General features: G+C 43.5%; 2 protein-coding genes across 10 annotated transcripts in view; both read right to left on the reverse strand.

Moving 5' to 3' along the window:
* Positions 1-4,061, reverse strand: part of SIRPB1 (signal regulatory protein beta 1) — a 58,625-nt gene extending 54,564 nt beyond the window's left edge. For all 5 annotated transcript variants that reach the window (XR_007067441.1, NM_001083910.4, NM_006065.5 and 2 more), the window contains exon 1: positions 3,921-4,061. Coding sequence is in view for 4 of the 5 variants with exons in the window: in NM_001083910.4 (NP_001077379.1) it covers positions 3,921-3,996 (76 nt within the window). In the remaining variant the exon portion in view is untranslated. The remainder of the gene's footprint in view (positions 1-3,920) is intronic.
* A 9,142-nt stretch (positions 4,062-13,203) lies between these two features.
* The window catches only part of SIRPG (signal regulatory protein gamma), a 57,304-nt gene continuing 53,077 nt past the window's right edge, over positions 13,204-17,430 (reverse strand). For all 5 annotated transcript variants that reach the window (XM_011529286.3, NM_080816.3, XM_005260749.5 and 2 more), the window contains 2 exons: positions 14,274-14,358; positions 13,204-13,688 (listed from right to left, as the gene is read on the reverse strand). In XM_011529286.3, coding sequence (XP_011527588.1) covers positions 14,276-14,358 — 83 coding nt within the window. In that variant the 3' untranslated portion in view covers positions 13,204-13,688; positions 14,274-14,275. The remainder of the gene's footprint in view (positions 13,689-14,273; positions 14,359-17,430) is intronic.

The raw sequence follows: 17,430 nt of genomic DNA on the forward strand, positions 1-17,430 counted from the left end.
TCAGTAAGGTAATCGCATTTACAATTACTACCAAAAAAGCTAAAATAGCTAGAAACAGATTTACTCAAGGACATGAAAGACCTCCACAAAAAAAGCTATAACACCCTGATGAAAAATAAATAGAACAAAAATAATGGAAAGATATCCATGCTTGTGGATTAGATAATTACTTTTGTTAAAAATATACATACTACCCAAAGAGATCTACAGATTCAATTCATTATTAGTAATATTTCAATGACATTTTCCTCAGAAATGGACAAAACAATCCTCAAGTTCACATTAGTCATAGAAAATTGTGAGTAGAAAAGGCAATCTTGAGCAAAAAGACTGGAGGCATCACATTGCCTGATTTCAAACTTGACTACCGTGCCATAGTAATCAAAACAGCATGGCACTGGCATAAAAATAGACACATAGACAAATGGATCAGACCAGAGAGCCCAGATATAAACGCACACATTTACACTCAATTGACCTTTGACAAAAATGTCAAGCAGACACAATTGGGAAAGGTCAGTCTCTTCAAAAAGTGGCATTGGGAAACCTGGATATCCATCTGTAGAGGAATAAAATTAGACCTTCCTCTCACATGACACACAAAAATCAATTCAAAATGTATTAAAGACTTAAGTGTAGGATCTAAAAGTGTAAAAGTACTGGAAGAAAAGTGCCATGACATTGGTGTGGGCAATGAATTTTCAGATATGAGTCCCAAAGCACAGGCAACAAAAGAAAAATAGACAAACGGCATTACAACAAACTAAAAAGCTTCTACACAGCCAAGGAAACAATCAACAGAGTGAAAAGACAACCAGCAGAATGGAAGAAGATATTTGCTAGCCATGCATCTAATGAAAAGTCAATATACAAAATATATAAGGAAGTGAAACAACTCAATATTAAGAAAACAACCCAACTAAAATATGGGCCAAAGATCTTAAAACCCATTTCTCAAAAGAAGACATTAAAATGGCCATCAGACCTATAAAAATACTCAGCCTTACTATTCATCTGGTAAATGCAAATTAAAACCACAGTGAGCTATCATCTCACACTTGTTAGAATGGCTACTATAAAAAAGATGATAACTAGTTTTGGAGAGGATGTGGAGAAAAGGGAATTCTTGCACATAGTTAGTGGGAATGTAAATTAGTAGAGCCATTAGCAAAAACAGTATGGAGGCTCCTCAAAAAATTAAAAATAGAACTATCATATGATCTGGCAATCTCACTATTGGGCATACATCCAAAGGAAATGACATAAGCATGTCACAGAGATATCTGTGCTCCCATGTCCATTGCAGCATTATTTACAATAGCCAGGATATTAAATTAACCTAGATGTCCATCAGCAGATAAATGGAGAAAGGAAATTGGTATACACAATGGAATTCTAATCAGCCTGACCAAAGAAGGAAATCCTATCATTTCCAACAATATAAATGATCCTGGAAGATATTATGCTAAGTAAAATAAGCCAGGCACAGAAAGACAATACTGCATAATGTCTCTCATATGTGGAATTTTAAAAAGTTGAACTCATAGAAGTAGATAGTAGAATATTGGTTACCAGGCACTAGGCAGGGGGTGCATTTGGAGAGATATTGGTCAAAGGATACAAAATTTCAGTTTAGTTAGGAGAAATTAGTTCCACAAATCTATTGTACAATATGGGGTCTAGAGTTCATAACACAATTCGTAACCTCAAAAATTGTTGAAAGCAGATTTTGAGAGATCTCACCACAGAAATGATACATATACAAGGTAGGTCATATGTTAATTAGCTCAAATTAGGCATTCTGCAATGTACACATATTTCATTAATATGGTATACATGATAAGTATATACAGTTCTGTCAAATAAAAATAAAATATTTTGTTAAAAGTTTCATTGAAATTAGAAACTTGGAGAAACAATGATAAAAAATGAAATCTCCTGTGTGTGCATGTACACTTACTTATATGCATACATGCATATACATATGTATACACACATATGTATACACACATTTGCAAATATATATACACACACATATATGTATATATACACACACACACATATATATGTATATATAGACACACACATATACATTCACAAATATATATCAAAGTGTGACCTATTGTGATAGTATATAAGTTTGTTTTGTGTATTAAATAAAATTACAACACACGTTAAAATCTCATTAAAATATCTGGCCCATAGAAAGTAAAATATGTGGCCCATAGAAAGCATCCAACACATTAATAACAAATTTAGAAGTACATACATCACAGTTGTAACTCTGGTTGTTGCTAACAAGTGTGGTAGGCAATAATTAATTCTATGTTTACTTCCCTGCATTTTCTAATATTTCTGCTAGTAGCATAACACGACTAAAAGAATGAACTTTGGAGCCGGTCGACCTGGACTTGAATCTCAGCTGCTCCACTGACTGAGGTAGGGGACAATGAATGGACAAGTTCCTCCCTCTGCCTGAGTCTTTGTTTGGAAATAGGGGATAATAGTTGCAGCTTTCACACAGGGATGTTGTGAGGATTAGTGGAGCTAAAACAGGCAAAATGCTAATAACTGTGTCTACATGGTAGGAAGAGCTCAATTGTTAAACTCTTACTGCTGTCATTTGGGTACAGTGTATGTGTGAGAAAAATAATTTGAAAAGTGAGACCCCTGCCCTCTAGGGCCTGTGAGGTGACATCACAGCAGGGCCCAGTGGGGAATTGAGAGGCTGCTGTGCCCAGCCCTGTGGTTCTGGGGTCAGCTCCATGGCCTGAGAAGGGATCAGGACAGGTAACTTGTCTGGGAGCTGTGAGCAGGGTTCTCCCAGGCTGCACCAGGAAAGGCCCTCCAATCCTGCCTGTCTTGGGAAGGGGAAAGAAATTATCCATGGGAAATTTAAGAGAACCAAAGGAGGTTGTAGTACCTGTTATGGGCTGAATGTGTCCCACAAAATGCATGTGTTGAAGCTCTAATCCCCAGCACCTCTGAACGTTACAGTTTGGGAGACAGGGTCTTTAAGAAGTAATTTAGTTAAATGAGGTCATTGGGGTGGGCCTTAATACAACAAGACTGATATTCTCATAAGAAGAGGAGATGAGGACACAGACACACACAGAGGAAGATCATGTGTTTAAGACACAGAGAGAAAATGGCCCTGTATAAGCCAAGGAGAGAGACTTCAGTAGAAACTAACCCTGCTGACACCTTGATCTTGGACTTCAGCCTCCTTAACTGCAAGGAAGTAAATATCTGTAGTTTCAGCCACCCAGCCTGCAGTTCTTTGTTATGGAAGCCCTAGGAAAGGAATATAGGACCCAGTAAGCAGCAAATGTGGAACTTCTTAAAGAGGAAGAGGCCACAGAGAAATGGGTGGTAAGAATCAGGTCACAGGGGAGGGAGGAGCATGGGGGAACAGAGGACAAAGTGAGGAGCACCCTTAGGGAGGATGGTGGCTGAACACTCCCAGGATACACCACACCACTGCCCTACTCAAGTGAGCACTATTACAGACTTCACATCCTCAGTTTGGTGAAGAGAGAGGGCTGGGCCTAGAGCCACATAACCCTGTTAGGGTGTCTCTGAGCTTACTCTGTGGACTTGGGCATGTCACTTGGCCCTAGGGCCTCAGGACTGGTGAGGATTTAGATAATGATTCTTCTCTGCTTTTTCAATTGAAATATTATCAAAATGTAAGTAATTGTTGTTGTGGTGGTTGAATCGTCCTGTGGTTCAATGCCTCTGGTAGCCAGCTGCAGATCCACAGAGAAAGTGCTCAGCTCCCTGATTTTCTGCTCTCAGTCAAAGCCTAATCCTTGGCCTTTCTTGGCAGCACTTGTCATTGTCCGGAATCCCTGAAAGTCCAGGGACAGGCCATGGCTCAGTGGGCAGGAAAAAAGATTTTAACCGAAGGCAGTGCTCACCTGTGAGTCTCCCCAGCAGTAGCGTCATCAGCAGGAAAGGACTAGGAAGGTGGGGCCAGGAGGCTGGCACGGGCATTCTGGAGACCTTAGGAGCCTGCTCTGTCCAAACGTCTGTGCTGGGAAGATCGCAGACTCTGCTCTGAGGAGAGAAGACAAGCCCTGCCTCCCTTAGTTCAAGAGGAAGTGGCTGCGATGGAGTGAAGCAGTAACCTGCTTCTGGATTGTGAAACAGAAATCAGGAACAGCAAGCAGCTACAATGCAAGCAGTTATGCATGCCCCATTTCAGGAGAATCAGACAGGCTTAGCAGAAATAATGCTTCCTTCCCACCTGAGGTCTTAACTCCTTCCATGACTCCTAACCCCATCTTTATGTCTTCTTGGTGATTTGCCATTTGGTGCTCTTAAGCCAGGAAGGACCTGTGGTTATGAAATGTTTCCTAAACTTTCCATCTCAAGACCTCAGGATGTGGTTGGCTTGTGGTCTCATTCTACAACAGCCTCAACCAAGTGCTACTCAGTTGGGGCAGGATGAGGGATCACTGGACCTGCTCAGTGTTGGAGAGGAACAGGTCTGCTCTTGAAATGGTTCCCTATTCCGAACTTTTATAAATATAAATGGCAAAACTTAGCCCAAATTCAGTCTCATGTGGCCGTTAGCACTTTCATATGCCTGCACCCAGCAGAAGGAATTATTTCCTGACTTCTTCCAGGAGAGGAAGTGGGCTTAGGGTAATAAGGATCTGCTTTGTGAGGTGAGGTGGGGATTATGGGTTATGGAAAGGGGATATGTTTATTATGGGGGAGAATATGGAGGGCAGATTCCTGGAGCAGTCACATCGATTTCAATACTCTTTGCTCTGCACATAGAACACCTATTCCATTCATCACTGTCTTCAGATGGGAACTGAGGAGGGAGGGAGAATAAATACCCTAAGAAGATGTGCTAAGGAGTTGGGGAAGTTACTGGGCCTGCCTAGGTTCAGTTTTGCCTTCTAACCTTGGGATAATAAGTCTCACTGCCATGTTTTAGTGAACATCAAAAGAGATAATGACTATACATCCCTGAGATTCAGTAGGTTATTATTGATACTCATGGTGCCAGGTGAAGAGAGGGAACTCAAATATTGCTTTTAAATGGATTTCTACTGCATGCTGAGTTTCCCACCAGTGGCCTTCTCCCATGTTCCCCGGACTTCTGGAACCCAGCTTTTATGGTGTACTTGGTCTACCTCTGACACTCTGAGATCAATTTCTCCCTCTGGATCCTCTTCACCCTGCTTTTTGTCAATCTGTAGATGAATTCCTTTTCTTACAATCTCCAGCTGTGTGACTTTCAACAAGACACTTGACTTCTCTAAGCCTTAACTTAATTACATGTAAATGGAAGTTATAACATGCACCTTGTAGTGATATGGTAAGAGTAATATAAGCCATACAGAAGGTTTGATTCATATTTAATTATAACCAAAAAATTGTGGCTATAATTACATTTGTGTACAGGGTGAGTTCACTGCTTCCCTGACATACTTGTGCTTTAGAAAAATTTCCTTGGTAGGAGAAATGGTTTCTCCTCCATCATCTGTGACTAAGAAAGACCTGTCTGGAAACCTCTCTTTCCCATGCTGGGCTTGCAATCCTTCACCTATCATGAGTAATTGTCAAATGAAATTGTAAAAGTCATCACATTTCCATGCAAATTTCTTTTTCAATGTGGCAGATGCACAGAGGGTGAAATCATCACCTCCTGCTCCACACTCACAGAAATGAATATAAAAATGATAAAATCATGTTAATCGATGCCAAATTACACTTTAAAACAAGAAACTAGTCTCTATATGACATGAAGGGTAGTAGCTGCTGTGTTTACTGCAGATGTCCTGTGCTCCAGGTACTGTGCCAAGCATTTTGTCAGTTACCTCATTAATTCATCACTCTGGTCCCATGAAATTAGCACTACCATTAACCTTTTTTTATAGGTGAGGAAACTTGAGGCACGCAGGCAATAATACATTTGTTCAACATCACCCAGCTTTTAGAACTAGAACACAGGTTGTCACACTCCATGGCCTTCACTATGACACCTCTCATAAGAAGGGAGAGATATCTCTCAGGAAGGAAGCAGAGAAGAAGCCATAACGTCAATTAGGCGCAGCCTCCACAGCAAGGTTGGGATAGGTGCCATGTTCCATAAAGTGCTGACAGCCCATGATCACTCAGGGCATTATTCCTGTAAAGATTACAGTGAAAGCAGTAATCACTAAAGATTTGGGGAAAAGCGACATCATAATAAATTCAAAAACAATAACTAAAAAACAAAAACAGCAATGAAAATAACATCTTAGAAAATAATACCTCAGAAAATAAAAATATAAAATGTGAAAATATTTTTAACATTAACATATTTAGTAACCTTATAGAGATAATGAAAAGAAAGTAAATCCATAAAACAAAGTCACGTGTGAAACAAGAATAGGTAGGTGTGCAGTAACAACAGGTATCTGAGAAAAGTAATAAAAAGAAGAATTTTGAAAAAATATAATTAGTGCTAAATTGTTTAAAAAACAAATAGGTGGATGTATTAATCTGTTCTTTCTATAATTGTTATAATGAAATACCTGAGACTGAGACTGGGTAATTGATAAAGAGAAGAGGTTTAATTGGCTGATGGTTTCAGAGGCTTTACAGGAAGCATAATGCTGGTATCAGCTTCTGGGAGGTCACAGGAAACTTACAAAAATGGCAAAAGGTGAAGGGGAAGTGAGCATATTTACACGACCAGAGCAGGAGGGAGAGAGAGAGTAGGGAGGTGCCACACATTTTAAAACCACCAGATCTCATGAGAACTCACTCATCATCATGAGAACAGCACCAAGAGGGAAATCTGACCCAAAGACCCAGCCAACTTCCACCAGGTCCTACCTCCAACACTGGGGGTTACAATTCAACATGAGATTTTGGTGGTGGCACAGATCTAAACCTTATCATTTTCTCCTGCCCACTTTCAAATATTATGTCCTTATCACATTGCAAATACAATCATACCTTCCCAGAAGTCCCCCAAAGTCTTAACTCATTTCAGTATTAAGTCAAAAGTCCAAAGTCTTATCTGAGACAAGGCAAGTGCCTTCCACCTATAAGCCTGTAAAATTAAAAATAAGTCAGTTACTTCCAAGATACAATGGGGTATAGGCATTGGCTTTAGCCATCTGAATGGGAATACTCCCATTTCAAAAGAGATACATTGCCCAAAAGAAAGGGAATACAGGCCTATGCAATGCAATCTGAAACCCAGCAGGGCAGCCATTAAAGCTCCAAAATTATCTCCTTTGACTCCATGTCTCACATCCAGGGCACACTGGTGGAAGGGGTGCACTCCCAAAACCTGAGCAGCTCCACCTCTGTGCCTTTGCAAAATTCAAATTCCACGGTTCTTCTCATACTTGGTGTTGAATGCCTGCAGCTTTTCCCCGCACATGGTGCAAGCTGCTAGTGGATCTATCAATCTTTGGTCTGGAGGAAGGTGGCCCTCTTCTCACAGCTCCACTAGGCAATGCCCCAGTGGGAATTGTGTGGGGGCTCCAACCCCACATTTCCCTTCTGCACTGCCCTAGTAGAGGTTCTTCATGAGGGCTCCGGCTTCTGCCTGGACATCTAGACTTTTCCATATATCCTCTGACATCTAGGCAGAGGCTCCCAATCCTCAGCTCTTGTACTCTGCATACCTGCAGAATTCACACCACATGGAGCCACCAGGGCTTATGGCTGGCACCCTCTGAAGCAGCAGCCGAGATATACTCGAGCCCCTTCGAGCCAAGACCGGAGCTGGAGTGAATGCGGTGCAGTGGGCCGTGTCCGAAGGCCGCACACGGCAGCAGGCCCTGGTTCTGGCTCTCAAAACCATTCTTCCCTCTTAGACCTCTGTGCCTGTAAAGAGATGGTCTCTGAAATGCCTTTGAAGGCTTTTCCCAGTGTTTTCAATATTAGCATTTGGCTTCTTTTTACTCATGCAAAGTTCACAGCCTGCTTGAATTCGTTGCCTGAAAATGGGCCTTTCTTTTCTACCACATGTCCAGGCTGCAAATTTTCCAAGCTTTTATGCTCTGCTTCCCTTTTAAATATAAGTTCCAGTTTCAAGTCATCTCTGTGCTTACGCATATGAATTAGGCTGTTAGAAGCAGCGAGGTAACTGCTTCTTCTTTTTTGTGTGTGATATAAAGTCTTACTCTGTCACCCAGGCTGGAGTGCAGTGGTGCAATCTTGGCTTACTGCAACCTCCATCTCCCGGGTTCAAGTGAGTCTCCTGCCTCAGCCTGCTAAATAGCTGGGACTACAGGTGTGTGCCATGCACCACCACACCTGGCTAATTTTTTTTTTTTTTTTGTATTTTTAGTAGTGATGGGGTTTCACCATATTGGCCAGACTGGTCTCAAACTCCTAACCTCGTGATCTGCCCGCCTCGGCCTCCCAAAGTGCTGGGATTACAGACGTGAGCCACTGTGCCCCGCCTCAGGAAATTTCTTGAATGCTTTGCTGCTTAGAAATTTCTTCCAGCAGATACTCTAAATTGTCACTCCCAAGTTCAATGTTTCACAGAACCCCAGGGCAGGGGCACAGTGCCTCCAAGCTCTTTGCCAAGACTTAACAAAACCGATCTTTGCTCCAGTTGCCAGGAAGTTCATCATTTCCATCTGAGACCTCCTCAGCCTGGACTTCATGGTCCATATTACTCTCAGCATTTTGGTCACAATTCAAGAAATCTCTGGGAAATTCCCAGCTTTCGCTCATCTTCCTGTCTTCTAAGCCCTCTACACTCATTCAACCTCTGCTCATTATCCAGTTCCAAAGCCACTTCCACATTTGCAGGTAACTTTATAGCAATGCCCCACTCGTCAGTATCAATTTTTTGTATTAGTTCATTCTCACACAGCTAAAAGAAATACCTGAGACTGGGTAATTTATAAAGAAAAGAGGTTTAATTGGCTCCTGGTTCCACAGGCTGTATAGGAAGCATGATGCTTGCATACACCTGGCTTCTGGGAGGCCTCAGGAAACTTACAGTAAGGGTGGAAGGCAAAGTGGATGGAGACTTATCTCACATGGCTGGAGCATGAGGGATAGAGAGGGTGGAGGTGTTACACACTTTTAAACAACCAGATTTCACCAGAACTCAGTCACTATTACAAGAACAGCACCAAGAGGGAAACCTGCCCCCACGATTCAATCACTTCCTAGCAGTCCCCATCTCCAACACTGGGGATTACAATTTGACATGAGATTTTGGTGGGGAAACAGATCCAAACCGTATCAATTGAGTAGCTGACTGTACATAAGTGAGTAGTAAGTTAGTGAGCTGGCTCTTCATGCAGGGACAATCTCCTAGAACCCAGCACCAAGAGACACACCCAAACAAATTAATGACAATAGGTATAAATATAGCAATGGTAAAAGCTGTAACACAAAATAGTTTGAAAATGTTGCAATAGAAATACTATCTTAAGAAGCATAGTTTAAGGTAAAAAGCACAAATGGTTGAAAGAGAAATGTTTCCTTTTATGAAAGTAACAACTAACCTGAAAGATGAGTCACAAAATATTATGCCTCCAAAAATTATGATTTGAAATATATGACTCAAATATTGATAGAATAATTTCCATGCTCTGGCAGAATCTCTACTTAAAGCAGCAAGATGACTTCCTGTGAACTCCAATCCTTCAATGAAGATCTATTAGATGCATAGATACAATTTGAGTGAAAAATTTTGTGGAAATCATGTGGAGAATTGAGTTTCAAATTTAGGTTGACTTTGTGCAGTACAGATACAGCCTGGATGTCTGAGAAAACCAGGAGCCTGGGGAACCATGAGCTAAAATTCTCTTTCTGCCAAGTTTAGCCCTGCACTCATGACAGAAGGTGCAGATAATGAGATAAGGCTGTGGGACAAGTGAGGAGTCAGTGGATGTTTGAGGAGAGCAAAGATTAAGTTTGTGGGCTTAGGAATCAGAACTTCTAGATTTGAATTTAGTTCTATCAGTTCTAGCTGTGTGACCCAGGGGAGTCTGTTTAACATCTCTGTTTCTTGAGTTCTCTCAAATATAAAATGGAAGTAATCGTATCAACTTCAGAGGTTTGTTATGGTCATAAAATGGATTAATATATGTAAATTCCTTAATAATTGCTGATTGTGCTCCAAAAGTTAGATGTTATTGTTATTAGGTGGTGTTTTGGCAATAGTAATACCTTTAAAAAACAGACTCTCTGTCCTCGAGGATTTACGATGCAGTGCGACAACCCTGGCCAATGGCTGGGGGATGTGCAGATACCACCACATGATGAGTGTGGGTCACGTGTCTAGCCCTATAATCACGAAGTCATTACTAGCACCTGGGTCATGGTACAAGCATGACCTCGGGAAATCACTGTGACTAAAGAAAGGCAAATCCCGGTAAGAGTCTGCACAGATGCTCACGGAAAGTGTACTCCAAATCTTGTCTCCTGCTGGGATGGGAGAGAAGAAAATGTTCCCAAATGGAAATCCATAGATACGGGTGAGATGGGCTGAGAGGGTGAGGAGACTTACATATAAATACACCTGTGTAGAACAGGCTGCTCTCACCTGTGAGTCCCAATAGCATAAAGAGGCAAGGGTTGTCCAGGTGGGCTGGAAGACAGGTATGGTCATTGCCTGCTCTGTTGAAAGTTTATCACGGAGAGACCCCAGCCTCTGAGCTCTGCAGGGAAGGAGAAGCCCCACCTGCCATGATATCTGAGGAGGGAATTTGCTGTGGAAGGAAAAGGCCACGAGACTGGCATGGTCTCATAGTAAAAGAGGAAGCAGGCAGAGTTGCCACCCCTGGGAAGTTGCTGATATCCACCTTGGGGTTCCCACGCCTGGGAGCCTTGGACAGTAGTGGAGACAGTTTGACTGCTCTGGGCCTGCTCTCTGTCCCAGGGGCACTCACTTCATGCCAGGGTTCCCTTGGCCCTTCCTCAGTTGACAGCCCTGATCCACAGGGCCCTGTAGCTAAGGACTGAGTTTGGATTTTCAGAGACTGTAATTCTGGGTGTGGAAAGTTTGAGGTCTTGTTACTGTAGCAGCCTTTAAGGATGGAACCAAAACTCCTGGATGTCCCCTGCAAAAAGTCCCTAGGGCCAACATCAAGTAACAAGCTGAGCAAATAAGAAATGGCAACTCTTCTCAGGTCTGTCAGAGAAATGAGGTCACAGAGCAGACCATTGTCTCCAAAACTGGAAGTTAGACAAAATGATATAGAGAATTACAACTTCCTGAAGCCAAAACCTCCATGGGAACCAGTGCCAGGGTAGGAAAACCTGCACTGTAATTGAAGAATTGCTAGAGGCTTGGTGTGGGCCAGTCTGAGGAACAGATTCCAGCAGGACCCAATCGCAGGGAACTCCAACACTGTTGTGAGATTTACCTCCAGGAGCTTGATTAGGTGCTCAGAGTGAATATGAGAGAAACATTCACTTGTGCTTCCTGGGGGGTGTGGAGGGGAAAGCGAATCATTCTGAACTACACCAGAGCATTCTTTCTTCTTACCAAGCCCAGCTCTCAGGAGAAACTATTTTACCAGTGCCTAATCTGCTGGGCTTTGATCAGAGCCTAACCTACCTGGGGAAGGCAAGCACCCAACTCCAGCCCCCTCTGGCCATCCTGTCCCACCATAGGGGAAAAAACTGAGAGGCACTTGTGAAGTCCACAGGCCAGGGGCACAGGCTCACATAAGACTGCAACCTCATGTAACTGGTGATGAGCCCATGTGACATTTTTGGGAAACAAATAATTGAAAGAGAGATTGGACAACCACAGTGAAAATGCAGTGAATAAATGAGCAGTGAAAATGCTGGAGATAAAGTTCAAATTGTATGTCAGTGGAGTTATAGAAGCATGAATAGCTGGTGAGGCAACGTAGACCCTGGTAGTGTTTGAAAAACTTCAGATAGGCAGCCCGCAGGACTTAGAGAAGGTGAATTTAACAGATACGGGATGGGGTACTGACAAATAGGGCGAAGGTGTCCCTGAGGATGTGACAACAGCAAAAATCTTCACGTGAAAGGAACTTTTGCAGAGATTTCACGACACTGAAAGTGCAAATGATAAGGTGCTGGAAACAAATCCAAACTTAGAGAGGAAGGTGATAAAACACCCAGATAGAAAGGATGTTTGCTCCATATCCGAAGTGTACAAGAAGGAGGTAAGCACTCTTCCAACTACTCTTGAAACATTTTTACAAAGAAATAAAATACTGAAACACTTGATGTTTCCAATGTTTTGAATTACAGGGTACTAATAAATATTCATTTATTATTTTTTATTGCCTTCTACATTTGTAACTGACACTATGAGAGTTTCCTATATTTTGACAAAAAATTGTAAAGGTCACAATATGATCATTGTTTTTCTGATTGGATGTGGAGATTGCTTTCCTGGGTTTCCGGCTGCACAGTCATTCTTGCAATCTTGCACTGCTGTGAAAAGCGAGGGCTGCCTGTATTCGTTATAATGCTTATGGTAATAAATGCTAAATAAAAATTAATCAAGATAAGAGAAATTAGAATGCCAGGGTAGACAGGAGAATTGATATTATGTACAGGGTGGTTTGCCAAAGGTGCCTTTAATAAAGTGACATTGAGCAGAGGCTTGAAGGAGGGATGAAGGGAGCCATGCAGCTGTGTTGGGGAAGAAGCAGAGGAGTGATACAATTTGACTTTTCCAAAAATCCCTGTAGCTGAAAAATGAAAGCCAACAGAGGCTACAGAAGTGTTCCCGGAAGAGATGATGCTGGCCGGGACAGGGAGGGGTGATGGAGGTGAGAAGTGTGCAGGTTAGGGATGTAACTCAGTGCTCTCCTGCAGCAGGCTTGGACTGGCCCCTGAAAGCCAACCGTTAAGTTTCAGGAATTTTGCAATCCAGTTGTTAAACTTCTGGTAGCTTGAAACTGGCCATGTTGGGGGTGATTATACCACAGAAATTGTCAAGTACAACAAATCAGCTTTTTTTTTCCTTTAAGAGAGTCCATTTTTAAACACTTACCATCTCACGAGTGGACATAAGTATTTTGAAGGCAGAATTGAATATGGGGTGTAAAGAGACATCAGGGAGGATTCGGGAGTCAAGGAGGCTTTTGGACTGCGGCAGCATTTCCGCCATGAGCAGCAGGGCGGGGAAGCCTGCAGGATGCTAGAACTAGTGTTCCCATCACAGAGAGAGCAGGGAGAGCTTCTTTGTTTCTGAGTGTGAGGAGTAGGACCCTTAGACAAAGAGGAAGGATAATCTTTTTATTTTCTTAAAACCACTTTGGGAGTGCATTTGTATTCAAGAGGCAATAGAGAACCTCAACAAGGCTGGGGAGTTGGGATAGGCAGGAATCTGGAAGGCAGGATAACTCTTGAGAACCTGGAGAGCGTCTGTGGTTTACGGTCAGTCTCAAGGCGATGGATGGGAGTCCTGGTGTGTTTAGATTTGGCATGTTTCTCGCCTTCTAGGGAGGTGCCGTTAAGTCAGTGCCCAGAGCCCAATCCCATGGCACCTGCTCAGGACCATGAATGAAGACCTTGCTCTGGGGCATCCAGGTCTGTGTGAAGGAGCAACAGGAGCCTGTGGGCAGGCAGATGTCTTGGGAGGGGAGATGTTTGGAGCCAAGTCTAGAGAAGCTTCTCACTGGCTCATTCTCTCAAGCTGAGCCTCTCAGGAAAGGAAGGAGGCAGCAGAGATGAGGGTCCCACGTGGCAGGGGAGGAAGGAAGGAGCTGTAGGAAAACACATCCACACTTAGTCATCTGCTCATCTTTCAAGACATGTTTCCTGAGAGTCTGTTATGTTCTCGGGGCTGGTCTCCTGGGATACCTGTCACTGGTGGACAGGCAGTCCTGATAGAACTCTGCCTGCTCAGCCATCCTGCCAAGTCCTGATGCCCTTTCCAATATTCCTTCCACTCAGACACACAGAGGGTCAGAGCACAAACAGCCTTCAGGGCTTCCCATTTGGGTTTCTCAACATTAGTTTACAATGTGGATTTCTCTGACCCCATGGAGTCCCAGCATTCAAATAATCTACAGATAGCCTGCAAGGGACCACCCACTCATCACTGCCTCCATGAAACTCCTAGGGCACTGTGGACATCTTTGAACACATTTCAAGCATCCCACATTGTACACCACCCACATAATTTCTGTGGGTTGGGAGCCTTTTAAAGGGTTCCCCAAGACTTCCGAGGGTGCGGAGGGAGCTTAACTCCACGGACCCTGGTGCTGCATGGCATGTGGGCTGGGCCTTCCTGTTGGCCTTGCCCTTCTGAGACAGCCCTTGGTCTGTCCTCCCTTCCTTGTACTTACAGTCAGGTCTTCTGCTTCCAGGGGACGTAGATGGGGCCCAGGAGGACAGCTATGAGGAGCAGCGCAGTAAGGGATGATGCCGGGCCTGGAAATCAGGGAAGACGAGGGGCTATGAGAGAGACCACTTGGGAGGCCATTGTAGGGGCCTCCACTTACCCCATCTGAGGCTGCCTGGGCCCATCTATGCCCCACCTTTGAACCTGCATCCTGCCCAGGCTATCTTCACTCCAGCACAAGGCAGAAGCCACAGAAAGAGGCTCCCCATTCTCACTCATCCTGTCCCAGGTTGCCAGCTTATTCTCCTGGAGGGAAGAGGTGGAGGGGGTGTGTACTCAGGTATTCATACATGTGGCAACGGGGTTCCTCACTTGACCCTCACAAGCCTATGGGAGCAGGGATTGTCATTCCATTCTGCTAGGGAAACTGAGGCCCATGGATTTTAGGGAGGGTCACAAGGTTACTTGCATTCAAACCTAAAGAAGCTCATCACTAGTGTTCCTTAGGTTGATCCCTGAGACCATGTCCTTTGGAACAAAACAAGTCCAAATTCCTAGGGACATTTTAATGACTATAAAAGGGTAGGCAGGTGGCTTGAGGATGGCTTCACAATGAGAGTTGCAGGTTCCCTGCTTAGCCCCAGAAGTAAGGGGAGGACTCCGTGTTCTCAGAACTTGGAGGAGCCATGGAACACTGGACATAATGAAACCTTCCGGCTAGAAAACATCCTGGTGAGTCACGGAAATGGGTCTCATGCTTGGGAGGGCCTCAGATGTCACCTAGGCCACCTCCACCCCAGTGCAGGTGTCATCTGAAATCTTTCTGTTAGTTGGGCACACTCAGTTACGGGGAAGCACATGTTTGGACGCTGCATTTTTAACATGAGCAGTTCAGGCTTTTAAAATCAACATTTTTAACGCGAGCAGTTTGGGCCATTAAAGATATTACAGTATATTTTAAATAAATAAAATGGTGCTGGTGGGTCCTTAAGGAAGAAATGGAGAACTCAGCATCTGTGGCTGCTGGGGTGTTGGAGGCCGGCAGTTCTCAGCTGGGTGGCTCTCTGGGACTTCTTCTCCCTTGAGGAAAGCTGCACTGCCCAATTCCAAGTTCACTCCTCCTTCTAGGGGACAGCCCACAAGAAAGATTGGCTGAATTGAAAATAGGAAGGCCACGCTTCTCTCCTCAATTAAAAAACACTACATGACGCTCTCAGCCCTTGGGATCCTCCGCAGGAGCAGCTGGGTCTTTGTTCTACCTGCACTGTAGCTCAGCACCTCGCTCCTCCTACAGTCCTGCCTCCCCATTTCCTGAGGCATGCTGACCCTACAGCTCTTCAGGATGCTTCCTGCATTCCTGTATCCATCTCTAGTCTGCCTTACAGAGAAACTGACCTTGGTAAGTTGTCTGTAAAGCTTACTCTAAAATATAAATTTGAAGCCTGAATACTCATCAGCTCGCAATGAGGACCTCAGGGCTGGCAGTGAGTGGGGCTGGGCACCATGGCTGGGATGCAATTGATAAAACTTTCACTGGCAGTAAGCTGGGATGGCGTAACCACAGGCAGGAAATTCCTTGGCATCAGGCTTTTGAAACAAATTGGGAAATGGTAGTTATAAGGACTAACTTGTTCCATGGCTATCACTGGGCATATTTTTTTTGGGGAAATATGCTGAGAAGCTACGAGTGATTGATTATGAGTTAAGGTTCAGCGTGAAAGCAAGAGGACTTCTTGGCAGCACTGCACTTTCTTATCTCTTGTGGCTAGAGGGCAGAAAGAATAGAGGGTTGGGCCCTGGACATCATTAAAAGAGTAGCAGAATCACAGAGGAGGATGAATCTCAGCTTCAACGGTTGCTATGCTGGGGTAGGGCCCTGATGGGGAAGTTGTGGGACCCTGAGATGTGGGAGTGGACATTTGGGTCAAAGCACTCAAAGATCTTCGGTTGACTTAAGAGTTGCTGGGTACAATTGCAGCAGCATAGCTACTTATCTGTATAAAATATCCTCCCCAAATCAAATAAAAAATGAAAACAAAGTAAGTTCTGCACAACCCTGGCTCTCAGTATTACTTGAAGAGAGAAAGCCAAACTGCAAAATGACCGTGAGTCAAAACAGAACACTCACCTAACCCTAGTGCACAGTCTCTTACCCGGCTCCCACGCCACTGGTGCAGCACTTATGTAACCACAAGGCATCTTGCATTTTACCTGCCAGCCTAGACAACTTAAAATGCATTTCCAGCCTTAGTACCTGAGCAAAGATGCTACATCTGGCAAACCGAAAGCACCCAAAAATGCCAGCCCTGGTCCTGGTCCAAGCCAGTGGGTGGATGAATAACTGAAAAGCAAATGCAATCCAGTCTTGATGGTGCAGTTTTACCTCCCTGAGAAGTAAAACTATGAACCCTAGAAACATCACAAGGATCAGGAATAGGAGAAATTCCAAGGTGGGAGAGGAAGAAGGGAGACTGACTAGGGGCCTCAGGACTGAGGGACAGCCCTGCAGCCAGGCACCTGGGACCCATCCCCCAACACCAGCCCCAGCCATAAACGGAGGCAAAGGAATGACATAGAAAAGAGCAAAAGCCTCAAGTCAATTAAATCACCACTTCAAGAAACTAGAAAAAGTAGAGCAAAATAAACTCAAAGCAAGCAGGAGACAGGAATTAATAAAAAGAAGAGTGCAAAAAATGAATAAACTGGAAACACAAAAACAATTTAAAAACTCACGGAAACAAAGTGGTCCTTTGAAAAGACCAATAAAATGGAAAAAAACTATAGCAAGGCTGATGAAGAAGAAAACAGAAATGGCATATTTTAGATATGAGGTTGAAACAGGGGATATCGCCATAACCCTTCAGACACCAAAAAGATAATAAGGAGATATTATGAACAACTCTACACACAAAAATATGACAACTTAGATAAAATGGACACAAAATTCTTCAAAAGGCACGAGTTACCGGAACTCACCCAATATGAAATGAATAATATGAGTAACCCTAAACTACTGAGGAAATTGAATTTATACTTTTAAAACACCCCCAAAAATTCTTGAGGCCCAAGTGTTTCAAAGAAAAATACTGCAAAGCATTTAAATATGAATTAAAACCAAATTTAGTGCACAGAAAGATAGTCATAAAAGAAATTTGAGGAAA

The sequence above is a fragment of the Homo sapiens genome, chromosome 20 (assembly GCF_000001405.40).
Source record: "Homo sapiens chromosome 20, GRCh38.p14 Primary Assembly".
Taxonomy (NCBI): domain Eukaryota; kingdom Metazoa; phylum Chordata; class Mammalia; order Primates; family Hominidae; genus Homo; species Homo sapiens.